The sequence below is a fragment of the Homo sapiens genome, chromosome 16 (genome assembly GCF_000001405.40).
Source record: "Homo sapiens chromosome 16, GRCh38.p14 Primary Assembly".
NCBI classification, from domain to species: domain Eukaryota; kingdom Metazoa; phylum Chordata; class Mammalia; order Primates; family Hominidae; genus Homo; species Homo sapiens.
The window spans coordinates 67394152-67406612 of record NC_000016.10 but is presented as its reverse complement, the minus strand read 5'-3'; the positions used below and the strand labels follow the sequence as shown (position 1 = coordinate 67406612).

At 58.6% G+C, this 12461-nt stretch overlaps 1 protein-coding gene across 7 annotated transcripts in view, besides 1 other annotated feature; it reads left to right on the top strand.

Moving 5' to 3' along the window:
* Positions 1 to 795: part of an enhancer, noted in NCBI's record as "H3K27ac-H3K4me1 hESC enhancer chr16:67439721-67440606 (GRCh37/hg19 assembly coordinates)", that runs on past the window's edge. NCBI's record gives its function as "activates a minimal SCP1, AML or CMV promoter by ChIP-STARR-seq in naive H9 embryonic stem cells {active_cell/tissue: H9 hESC(naive)}" and the evidence as "EXISTENCE:reporter gene assay evidence [ECO:0000049][PMID:30033119]".
* Positions 1 to 12461, top strand: part of ZDHHC1 (zDHHC palmitoyltransferase 1) — a 22326-nt gene extending 9865 nt beyond the window's left edge. For 2 of the 7 annotated variants that reach the window (NM_013304.3, XM_024450245.2), the window contains exons 3-11: positions 171 to 413; positions 5481 to 5656; positions 7157 to 7258; positions 7669 to 7793; positions 7882 to 8040; positions 8289 to 8401; positions 11047 to 11129; positions 11392 to 11611; positions 11720 to 12461. In NM_013304.3, coding sequence (NP_037436.1) covers positions 171 to 413; positions 5481 to 5656; positions 7157 to 7258; positions 7669 to 7793; positions 7882 to 8040; positions 8289 to 8401; positions 11047 to 11129; positions 11392 to 11611; positions 11720 to 11947 — 1449 coding nt within the window. In that variant the 3' untranslated portion in view covers positions 11948 to 12461. Of the gene's footprint in view, positions 1 to 170; positions 414 to 5476; positions 5657 to 7156; positions 7259 to 7668; positions 7794 to 7881; positions 8041 to 8288; positions 8402 to 11046; positions 11130 to 11332; positions 11612 to 11719 lie in introns of those variants that run through there. The other 5 variants (XM_024450246.2, NM_001323627.2, XM_006721185.3 and 2 more) reach the window with 5 other exon arrangements.

The following is a 12461-nucleotide window of genomic DNA, read 5'->3' as shown; positions in this document are numbered from 1 at the left end:
CCCACCCTCTCCCCACTGCCCATCTCTATTGTGCTAGGACCCCAGTTTCCCCAGCAGAGTAGCTGTCGCAGCCTACTCCCCCTGTGCTGAAACTTGGCTGCAGACACAGGCCCTGGGCTCCAGCCCAGCTTCTTGGGCTAATGCTCTCTCTACTGTTTCTCCCTCTGGAGATGAACATCTGCAACAAGCCCTCCAACAAGACGGCCCCTGAGAAGAGTGTGTGGACGGCACCGGCACAGCCCAGCGGACCCTCCCCTGAGCTGCAGGGCCAGCGATCCCGCCGGAATGGGTGGAGCTGGCCCCCTCACCCGCTCCAGATTGTGGCCTGGCTGCTGTACCTCTTCTTTGCTGTGATCGGCTTTGGGATCCTTGTTCCCCTCCTGCCTCACCACTGGGTGCCCGCTGGCTACGCTGTATCCTTGGGAAAGCGTAGGGCTGGTGTGTGGAAGTGGGGAGGCAAAGGATGGCTGGCACAGCGGAGGCCCAAAGCCGGGTTGAGAGCCTTGGGGAGCACAGTCAGGAGAGTGGAGCAGGGTGGGCCCAGTCCTGGGGACTTGCTGCTTCCCAGCCTGTCTCCAGCCTCCACCTGACCTCTCCACCTGATAGGGTGAGTGGGCATGCCTAAAATACCTAGGAGCATATGAAGCCCCACAAAGATGTGAATCCTGTCCACAGAGGCACCACAGGAGCAGTCATAGAAGGAGGAGCCTCAAACCATCCTGATGCTAATTGTGTTCAGAGCTGAACAAAGGATGAAGTAGGGAGTAATTAGTCCATCTATCGAAGAATTTTTCACTTTTCAAAGAGTCACCGTAGAATTCTTTTACATAATAAGTGTCCTGGTGCCTTAAAATATGGTTTTATTCATGGACAGACTGTGCCCAGGACTGTTTATGGGCACATTGATTCTGTACATCAGACCCTTTTAGAGTGAGGTTGAATGTGACAAGAGATGGGATGGAGATACCTCGAATGCCCCTGGGAATAGTGACAAACCGAGACTCGCCTGAGCCCAGTGGTGTGATTGCCCCATCCCTGGCCACAGCCCCCAGGAGCAGAGGATGTGGCTGCAAGGCCAGGGGTTGCAGTGAAGCAGGCATCTCTGTGCTCCTTTCCAGAGAGTTCCTATTTGAGTGTCCTTCACAAAGATGACTCCTGTGGGGAAGGTGAGGGCGGTCTAAGGGTGGTTGGCGGCGATAAGCCTAAGAGCCTGGGACATCCAGCCTGTGGTGAGCTCTGTCCCTGCTCAGCACCTTCAGAGCTGCACGGGACCGAGCAGCTCCTGCCAGCTCTGTGGGTCTTTGCCTCCTCCTCTGTCTGATGGGAAGGCTCCTACCTGGAGCACTTAGGATATATGTGAGCACTAGAATTCATTAAGCCACAAATGTGAACATGCTCTTTTAGGAAACCGCAAAGCCCTGGGCTGGTGAGTGGCAGGGTAGGTATGTGGAGGCGGACCCTAGAGGAGGTTGTCATCCTCAGACACAGCAGTGCCATCTGGGGGCTTCTTGTTCACTAGAGCCCAGGGTCTGGTCATCAGCTCTGTGAATGGAAAACTGGACTTTCCCTGAGGTGACCAACAGGTCTTAGTGCTGTTAAGTCATGGGACATGGGAATGCGTCATGGGACATTCCTCCTGTGATCTGGAATGGACACGCCCCTCACTAGGGATCACCTGGGTTCCTCCCATCAGGATACCTGGGAAACCAGATTAACCAGATGAACAACCCCATGCCTTGTACAAGTAGAAGCAGAGCAAATCATGATAAACAGAAGGCAGTAGACTTTATTGAGCCCTTACATGTGCCAGGCCCTGCGTCAGCCACTTTACATGAATGATCTCATTTGGTCCTCATTGTAATCCTTAAGGAGGTATTCTCCCCATTTCCTAATGAAGAAGCTGGGCACAGAGGTTCTGTGACTTCCTGAGATCACATAGCGGGCACCCAGTGAGGCCAGATGGGCTGCCCAGGAAGCCTGACTGTCCTGAGAGGGGCGGGTTGAGGGCTTTGTCTCCGCATTCAGGGTTCGTCTGCTTTGAGCATTGCAGAGGCTCACAGAACCACCTGGTTCATGCCTGACCAGCCTATATGCTCTCCTTCCTTCCATCAAAGCCTTCTTTCTGCAGGCTCTCTCAGGTCCCCTGAGAAGTGAGGTAAGGTCATAATGGGTACCAGGTACCCACCTTGGGCCTGGAACTGGCCTGGGCCTTAGGGATACAAGCTGAGCCCTAGGGTGCTGGGCCCCCAGCTGAAGGGAAGGCTGGTGCACGCCACGTGGTGATCACGCCACATGGTAAGTGCAGCAGACTGTGAGGGCAAGCAGAGGCCACCTACACCAGTATCACCGCATGTCCACAGGCACACTCGTGGCCTGTGGCTCCCCCCCTCCCCCGCCCCACCTCTCCCCACATGCTCTTGGCTCCTCCCGCTTCCTTCCTAACTTAAATCCAGTCAGTCATCCAGCCCTGTTGATATTGCCTCCTAAATAGACATTGAATTGGCTCCCGGTTTCTGCCACTGCCAACTGCCTCTCTTCCCTGGATGACCGCTGAGTTTCTAAACGGGTCCCACACACACGCTCTCACCTCGGCCAGCCCATCTGCATTCCTGCTCTTTCCAAAAACCAAATCTGATAATGTTGCGCCCCAGCTCCAAGATTTCTAATGGTTTCTTCCTGCCTTAAGTAATGAGGCTCAAGGCCGGGCGCGATGGTTCACACCTGTAATCCCAGCATATTGGGAGACCGACGCGGATGGATCACCTGAGGTCAGGAGTTCCAGACCAGCCTGGCCAACATGCGAAACTCCATCTCTACTAAAAATACAAAAATTAGCTGGGCATGGTGGCACACGCCTGCAATCCCAGTTACTTGGGAGGCTCAGGCTGGAGAATCGCTTGAACCCGGGTCGGGGGGCGGAGGCTGCAGTGAGCCGAGATAGCGCCATTGCACTCCAGCCTGGGCAACAGAGGGAGACCCTGTCTCAAAAAAAAAAAACAAAAAACAAAAGAAATGAGGCTCAACATGGCGTCAAGGCTCCGCATTCTGGACTCTGCCTCTCTCCCCCATTTCCTCTGATGTGATTTTCCCTGTCCTCTTCTGTTTCCACGGCACTGGTCTCTGCCCGGAAGCCCCTTGTCTCTCTCCCTGCTCCCAACACGCAGCTAAATTAGAGGCCGAGAACTAGCAGCCCATGGGCCAGTCCAGCCTGCAGATTTGTTTTTTTGAATTGAAGGATAGTTAACAAAGAAAATGCACAGATCTTAATGTTCCTTCTATAGGCATGTTTTTTAAATTATTTATTTCCTTAACATTTAAACATTGAGAGATCTCACATAAAAACCCAGACTTCTGGTTCCTTTTGAGAAGCCAGAAATTGGCCACACAGACCCTCATTCTTGCATTCTTGCAAGACAGCCGTGAGCTGGAGGCACACTTCAGCCAAACTGCTGGTTGGCACTCCACATGTTCCCCACAGCCACAGTCCCTAGCCAGGCCCCCTTTCCTCTTTGCCTGCCAGGTCCCTGGAATCCATTCCTCTCTGTCTCAGCTGAGACAATACTTCCTCAGGTAAGCCTTCTGGACCCCTTCAGACTAGATGAGGTCATTTGGTTATAAACTGGCATAGTCCCACGAACTTTCTTCATTGTAATTAACTCATTATTTGATTGATATCCATGTTTTTGGGCAGGAGTGGTGGCTCATGCCTATAATCCCTGCACTTTGGGAAGCCAAGGCAGGCAGATCACCTGAGATCAGGAGTTTGAGACTAGCCTTGGCCAACATGGCGAAACCTTGGCTCTACTAAAAATACAAAAATTAGCCAGGCGTGGTGGCGAACACCTGTAGTCCCAGCTACTCGGGAGGCTGAGGCAGGAGAATCACTTGAACCTGGGAGGCAGAGGTTGCAGTGAGCCAAGATCGTGCCATTGCACTCCAGCCTGGGCAACAGAGCGAGACTCCATCTCAAAAAAAAAAAAAAATTCCATGTTTTCCACCAGACTGCAGTCTCTTCAGTGCTAGGGACTCTTGCCCCTGCCGTATCCCTCAATGCCTGTCACAACAAAAGACCTCAGTAGACAGCTGAATGAATGACCCTGGGGGTGAGGCGGGAGAAGAGTTGGAGCAGGCAGGGAGTAAATGTTTGCCCTCATTCAGTGTCTGAAGAGTGGATGGCATGGTGAGCACAGTAGCTGGTGATAGCAGAGAGGTTTGGGAGGAGCCAGAGGGAAAGGGACCTTAGCACTGAGCAGAGGAGTGAATTTCAGTCAGAGAGCTGTTGAGACCCACTGTAGGGTTGCAAGCAGGGAGGGCTTTGGGTCTGAGCTTTTAAAAACTTACTCTGAGACCATGTGAAGCATAGACTCAAGGGAACTCAGACAGAAGGCGCAGAGTTGGGAGGCTATAGAGTGGCACAGGCAAGAGATGAAGACTTGGCCATAGGGATAGAAGGGGTAGTGATGGCCACAGGATTGTCTCTCTTAGCTATGCTTATGGCACATTAGGGCGGAGCCTGGTTTATGCAGATATGTAGAGAAATTTGGCTGCTGGGAGGAGGAGGAAGGGAGGAAAAGAGATTGGACAGCTGATGAATGAAGGATGGCAGATGGATGATGGGTAGAGCATGAATGATGGAGGGATGATGTCTGCCTGGCTAGCAAGAGGACCAGTGGAATTTTGGGCTGAAGTGGGTGTGATCAAGGGAGGGAGAGTGGATGGCTGCCTGGGTGGAATCTATGGGTGAATTTTTAAACATCAGACTTTGTAGCAAATTGTCAGCAAACTTGTCTCCTGCATTTGGCCCAGTCATTGAGCAGTTAGATCCTGGAAGAGCTGTTTCAGCTTCAGAGACTAGCCATGCTGTCCCTGGCCAGGCCCTGAACATGGCAGGCCATTCCAGACACTCAGCCCAGGACTCCAGGTGCCTAGATTCTTGGTAGGGGAGGTAGCAAGTGTCCGAATCCGTGTCTGCAAGGGGTTCTCCATCTGGCCCAGCTACTGAAAAGGGGGGTGGCTGCATCCCTTTTGGAGGTGACTTCCTATGAAAGCAAGATAAGGAAGCTGGGACTTAAACTTCAGGTTCTTGGACCTTAGGTGGGGTTGATCTCTTTCAGTCTCACATCACCATTTGGAATCTGAAACCAGAAACCAGCCTGAGGTCAGACCAGCCAGGGCCTGCACCAGGCCTGGAGCAGTGAGGCCAGGACCCTGCGATTGGGCACCTAGGTGGCGACAGCAGGCACTGCTGGCTGGCTGTGGACTCCTTTCCTAGATGGCCTCTCCCTCTTTCCATTTGGGGCATAGGGGTTACCTGGAGAGGTCTGATGAGGAGGCTTTGGGGGACTGGAGGTAGGAGGTGGCAGAGGCAGAGAATCTGCACAAAGCGGGCTGGCATGGCAGTGGGGAGTTCTCTGGCTGCAAGGAACGGGGCAGGACTCCCAGCCGGCAGAGTGGAGTGAGTCTTTAACCTGCTGGGCCAGTGCATGGGCGCCATCTTTGCTGGCCACCTTGTGGTGCACCTGACCGCCGTCTCCATCGATCCAGCAGATGCCAACGTGCGGGACAAGAGCTATGCGGGGCCCCTGCCCATCTTCAACCGAAGCCAGCACGCACATGTCATTGAAGACCTGCACTGCAACTTGTGCAACGTGGATGTGTGAGTGTGTGTGGGTGCTTGTGGCTGCCGAGTGTGCTGTGGGGTGTATGGTGGAGAGGGGGTGCCAGGGCTTCACAGACATCCCTGATGCCTCAGAACCCTCATGTTTTATGCAGTCAAGAACCTTGATGGCGTGACAGAGTATTGGGTTACTGAGAAGGTGAGGAGAAGGTGATTGGAAACAGAAGATCAGTAGTATTCCAGCAGTTAAAGGAGGAAACATTTGGCCCTGCCCAAACATTTCTAATGAGCGGCTCTGCCAGTGACACCCTCACATCTCTCGCCAGTATTCCCATATAGGGGTGGGCAGGGGTGTTGATGCCTGACACTCACTGTGTGCTGAGCTCTTCCTGCAGCCACCCCGCATGGCTTTCTCACTTCATGGAGGAGGAAGAGCCCAGCGCTTAGAAAGGCTGATAGGCCAGACACAGCCACTGATAGCGGAGCCAGATTCACATCTGGCCGGCCAGGCCCCTAAGCAGATACTGCTGCCCTGGGGTCTACCCAGGAGGAGTCTGAGGCCCAGGGGGGCCATTTGGCTTGCTCAGGTCCCTCTGCTAACATGGAGGAGTCACTACGTGCTGCGCCCCGCCACCTTGGCTGGTCCCAGCTACCTCTCTAGGGGCCCCTCTCCACCCTTCTGGAGCCCCCCAGTCTCCAGGTCTCGGGTGGGGGATCAGGGATGGGGATATGGCCCAAGGCCAGCCCCCACCAGGAAGCCTGTTGAAGGGGTCTGTCTGCAGACTGAGCAAGCCCCTAGCCTTAAGGCGCCAAGGACTTGGACATGAGGCCATCCTGCCATTCACTGGGCACCCGCCAGCACACTTTCCGAGCAGCTGCTCCAGCAGCTGCTGCCCATTGCAGGGCTCTGCCCTGTTCTGGGGGAGGGGTTGTGCCTTTGGGCCTTCCCCGGTGCCTCCCTGGGCTGGGAGACTTCCCCTGAGCCCCTGTGGTGAGCACCTGCATGCTCACGCGGATGGCAGCCTGCACTTCTTTTGCCTCTTTTCTCTTAGTCCACACAGACTGAAGTTTCTGGAAAAATGCCAGTACCATTCCTATAGAATGGCAGGGAAACAGGGGCCCACTGCCGGAGGTGTCGGGAAGGGCAGTGCAGGCCCTGGGCCCAAGCCTTGCTGTCTGCAGCTCCCTGGGCCCACACCTGCATCTTCTGGCTTCTCTCGGGGTCTTTGCTTGGAAAGGACGCCCATTTTCTGTTTCATGGCGCATCAGCTAGGCGCACAATCCCAGAGCAGGAGGGGTGCACCTCCTTACCCCTCCTGCGGCCTCTGGGGTCCCCCAGCTCTTCGGGAGCGCTGCCTCCTCCAGGGGACCCACCCCGCAGCGCCTGCAGAGGGCGCGCGCGCTCCTCGTCGCCTCGCTCGGGGCTGTCTCAGGCCTGGCGCTTGGTCCCTCCACAGACCCCACTCAACCACCCCGACCGGCCGGGCCGCAGAGCGGGGAATGAGCCGGCCAATCGCGCTGTGCCCCCTCTCCCTGCAGGAGCGCTCGCTCCAAGCACTGCAGCGCCTGCAACAAGTGCGTGTGCGGTTTCGACCACCACTGCAAGTGGCTCAACAACTGTGTGGGCGAGCGGAACTACCGGTGAGGACAGCCCGGCCGCACGCGGGCCTGGGGATGCACTGTCTGAGGGTGGGAGCCACAGACCTTGCAGCTCGCATGGCAGGCGGGCGGGGATGGGGATGCTTCGAGGACCTGTGCCCGTTTTATGCGGGGGTGCTGCCCAGAGAGAGTGATGCTCCTGGGTGCCGGCTGAGATGGCCAAGGGTGGGCCTGGAATCTTCCACCAAGCTGGCCCAGAGAAATGTGGGCTGCCTGATGGGGTGGCCACCCATCTTCAGTTTTGCCGTATGCCTTTGGCTTCTGAGGAGTTGGGGCTGTGGGGTCACCCTCAGCCCTCTGAGCCCATAGCAATGACCCTACAGCCCCAACTCCTATGGGCCTTCTGAGGCTGGAGCTCCGGGGAGCTGACAGCGACCCATGGCTGGGCCCAGGCTCTTTCTACACAGTGTTGCATCCGCTTTACTGGGCGTCCTGCTCCTGGTGCTGGTGGCCACATATGTCTTCGTGGAGTTCTTTGTCAACCCCATGCGTCTGCGCACCAACCGACACTTTGAAGGTCAGTTTAGGCTCCGGGCCTATTCTCACCCCCAACCCTGGTCACCCGTCACGTCCCCGGCTGAGCACACACTGCCTGTGCCTTGCAGTCCTGAAGAATCACACGGATGTGTGGTTCGTGTTCCTGCCTGCCGCCCCCGTGGAGACCCAGGCCCCTGCCATCCTGGCCCTGGCCGCCCTGCTCATCCTTCTGGGCCTCCTGTCCACAGCCCTCCTGGGGCACCTGCTCTGCTTCCACATTTATCTCAGTAAGTGCCTCCTGCACCTGCCTTCTGGAACGCAGGGGTCCTCAGATTGCAGGAAGGTGCCCAGTTGGACGGTGGACCCTGAAACCATGCCCCTGCCTAGTATGGGCTCACTATGGTGGCCAGGTCTCACCTGATGGCTTCGTGTATTTGGGGACACTGGTTTCAGCCTGGGGCTGGTTGTCCTCCCTCCTGTTCTGAGCTCCAGAGTCCCCCTTCCACCGCACTGAGCCCTCTCCTCCCCCCACCAGTGTGGCACAAGCTCACCACCTATGAGTACATCGTGCAGCACCGCCCACCACAGGAGGCCAAGGGGGTTCACAGGGAGCTCGAGTCATGTCCTCCCAAGATGCGGCCCATTCAGGTATAGAGGATGAAGGGTGGGAGGGGGCCTGGGTGTGGGGGGTGTTGGGCTGTGCAGCGAGCAGCCAGTGAGGAGACAGGGCAAGGGAGGCAAGCCTGGAACAGCCGCTGGGGGCAGCAGGGACCGGGCTTGTGCTGAGCGTGTGCCTGCTCGCCCAAGCGTGGGCACAGCCAGAGGGAGCCCTGTGTTTCCCGGACCCCACGTACACACCTGCCCAGGCGCCAAGCATGCGCGGGAGGGCATGGGATGTGGGAGCCTGGAAGCAAGCAGGTTGGGGCTGCAGCAGGAGAGAGAGGGATGGACCAGCGACGGGGTCAGTGATGGGTGGCCAGGATGGAGCCATCACTTCTCCTCATCCATGACCTTGAGCGCTTATACCCATTACCCTAATTTATGCTTAGAACAGCCTCTTCTGCAGATGTGCCTACTGAGGCCTAGAAGGTTAACCACAAGCTGGGTCTGGGAAGAGTTAAGGTCTCTACGCTCTGGCCGGCCTGGCCAGGCCAGTGGCTGACCAGCCTATCCCCATTCCCACGCCCCATGGCTTCCTGAGGTCAGCCGCTGGGGTGGGGGTGATCCAGTCGTCAAAGGAGCCCCTAGGGACTAGGAAGGCGGGGCCCGGGCAGGCTTTGCTGGGGGAAGGCTGAGCCCTGGATCCCGAGGCCTCATGGCAACTGGACACAAACAGAGGCTGGTGGGTGGGTTGGGGAGGGCCTAGGACCCCACCTCTTCTGTTCTTGTCACCAGGGCTGGACACTACTTGTGGGCCAGGCTGCCAGGACTGGGCAGGCCTGGGCCTGGGGCATGCTGGCTGTGGGTGGCGACTCCACTGTTACACCACCGTATACCTGCCCCAGTGCTGGGCTCTGATGGTGGCAGCTGTGCTGGGGAGAGGGTACTGTTTCCAGCCCCACATCAAGAGGAGACGGAGGCCCAGAGAAGTAGGCAGGAGACTTTCTCAAGCCTCATAGGCAGCACCCACTGAAGCAGGGCGGGCTCTTTGGCCCTGCGCTGCCAAGGCTTTGGGGCCAAATGTGGCCACAGCGAAGACATTTAATTTCTGTTCTGTCCATCTGCAGTGACTTGAGGGAGGCAAACCCGGGGGACAGGAGTGGTGTTCTTGTCCTCTTTTACAAAGCAGAGAGCTGAGGCTGAGGGCCCAGTACCATTCAGGAATGTACACGGTTTTGAAGGTCTCTGAGACAGTATCCTCTGGACAGCCATGGCGAGAGAGGACAGGGCTCTGAGTGGGGACTCACTGGGGACGCTTTCAGACTTCTTGAGCTGGCTAGGGCCTGGCGCCTTTCCCATCCAGGCCCCTCAGCTTCTGAGACCTCCTCTACTGCTGGCCCCTCCTCTGCTCCCCCCTCTGGAGCCCAGGGCCCCCCAGTGGGCTTTGCCCCTCTGCTGGCCCTAGAGGGTCACTGAGTCCACACTGGGGCAGAAAAGAGGTGTGGGGGAGAGTGATCTTGAGGTTTCCAGTCCCTGTGACTGGCCTCTGACCCCTGACCCCGCGCTCCTCGGCCCAGGCTGGCGCCCCCACACCCCTCTCCAGAGCAGCAGCCAGGGCAGAGGTTGGGCGGGGCCGCTGGCTGGGCTCCTCCCCCAGATCTGTCAGGGCCCTGCAGGCAGCCACCCACCCCCACCCCAGCAGGAATGCGGGAGGGGCCCCTCTCTGGAGCCGTTGCCCCCAAACATAGGCTTGTTTTAGAGACGGCCTTGCTGTTACAGTGTCCTCTCTGCATTAGTCAGGACGCCTCCGTCTCCATGGAAACGGCTGCTGAACTGGCGACAGCTGTCCGGGTGCTCCCGGCAACCCCTCCCGGCTCCCACCCCGCCCGGGACCCGCCCCCATCTCGCACCACGCCCTTCCCGGGCCTGCTTTCCCCAGGCTTTTGTTTCCTCACCTGGAGTCCTTCTGGGCAAAGCTGGGGCGAGTCCTGCGGGCGGGGGTGCAGGACTAGGCCACTCCTGCAACCCCCTGGCCTCAAGGCCCCTTTGCTCTCAGGGGTCGCGTCTGCACCCTCAGGGTTGCTGTGAAGATCAGGGCTTGCCCATAAGCCTGGTGCTCAGTGGGGCTGCGGCTCTGTTTGTTCCACCACCTGCTACCTTCCCTTTTGGTGTAGTGGCAGGGAGACCACCGCATGTGCATTTACGCAGCCCCTTCTCGGCAGCCTGGATCGTGGCTGGTCCTCTGTGAGGGCGAGGGGTGTGCCCAGGACTCAGCTCTGCGGGAGCTGGTGGATGCACACTCAGGCCTGTTTCTCAGCCAGGGGAAAACAATTGGTTCAGAGGCTGGATCCCTGGGGACACCAGGAGCAGGTGCGGGCAGCTCTGAGCTTCCCACCACTCCCTGGCTGAGCCTCTCTAAACTGGGCCTATAGACCCATGGGGGCTGGGAGCCTTCCTGCAGGAGGCAGAGGCTGAATAGATGAGGTAAGGACCTGGGGATGGGGCAAGGGCCAGAAATGGGTGTTTTAAGCCTTACCCTACAGATGGGGTTTTCCCAGCATGGCTGGGAGCCTGGCATGAGGCCTGAGATATCCCACAGAGGCCAATGAGGGCAGGACTGCGTGGGCTTAGGGCTCAGCAGGCTCGGGAGCCACACCTGGCCTCCCAGCCTCCTTGACTTCCACCTTCCCCAGGAGATGGAGTTCTACATGCGGACCTTCAGACATATGCGCCCAGAGCCCCCTGGCCAGGCCGGGCCAGCAGCAGTGAATGCCAAGTGAGTGCAACCTGGGCATGTGCCACTGGGCATCTCCAGTTAGCATGGCAGGGCCATCGAGGCAGGAGAAGGGGGTAGGCTAAGGTCGGGGCATGGGTCAGGCCCTTCTCTGAGCTAACAGGAAGGGAAGCTTCTCTCAGCACCTCCAGTGGGGAGGGATTTGGGGAACAGGCCCCAGGCTTACCCTCCTGCTTCCCCCTCAGTCCCTCCCAGTTTCTTGCCACCCGTGGCCAAGCGGAACCTCCACCACCCTCTTCCCCAGACACTCTCGCCCTGCCTCCCCGGATCCGACCCCAGGTAGGAGGGACTGTGCTGGGCCTCCGGTCCAGGTGGAGTGGGATAGAAAGAAGCCTCTACCCTGGCGCTCGCCTCTGCTTCTTTTGGCGATGTGGGGCCCTCAGGCTCCCCCGTGTCTCTGCAGAAAAAGAGGAAGAGGCGCGTGTATAAAGTGCGAACGTCTGAGACCTCGGATCCGGCGTCGGGTGAGCGCCTCTCCCTGTCCGGGTCCTGCTCTGGGAACTCGAGGGAGGGGAAGGCAGAGCCACAAGCGAGCCGCAGCCACTGGGCTCATGTTCCCTTCCCTTGCGCAGGGCCTAGGGCCCCCAGCCGCCGCTCCAGCTCGTCGACGGATTCCGCGGACGCCAGCCCTGTGCACGCCGCTGGCCCTGCCGGCGCCTACCACTCGGCGTCGGCAGAGTCCGTGGACGAGATTCCAGTGGCGCAGACGCGCCTGGGCAGCGCCGCTCTGGCCGCCCCGCGGGGCCGGGGCCGACAGCCCACGCTGGCGCGGCAGGCGCGTGCGCCCGCCGTTTTCGTGAGCCCGAGCAGCGGCGAGCCCAGGGCGCCGGGCGGCCGGGAGGCTGGTCTGGCTTAGCTGGGCCGAGAGGCCGGAGGGCCGAGTTAGAGCGGCCGGCCTGACTCTCTATGCAACACCCCATCCTTGCCGCACCGAGTGCACTTTAGGGGCCCCTACGGCCGGCGGGATCGGCCTCCCTCCCCCACGACTCAGCAATACCCGCCCCACCGGCTGTGATGCTCCAATAAACTTTTTTATGCTTTTGCGGACGTCGCGCTTACTTTCTTAATGGCAGGGGCCACGGGCCATCCAGAAGCCCGACCCTGGCCAGTGGACCGGGGGCGGGGAGGAGGTCCCTGTATAGTAGGTAGCCACCCAGGCTGCCCTGTGGAGGTGCTCACGTGCGGCTCGTGGTTAGGAAAGGCCTTAGAAGGCGGCCTGGAGGAGGTTATTTTTCTTAAAGATGGGCTTTGCACTGGGAGGCCGAGAGAAAGCAGGCTTTGGGCTCCGAAAGCAGCAGTGGGCGCTGAGGCTGC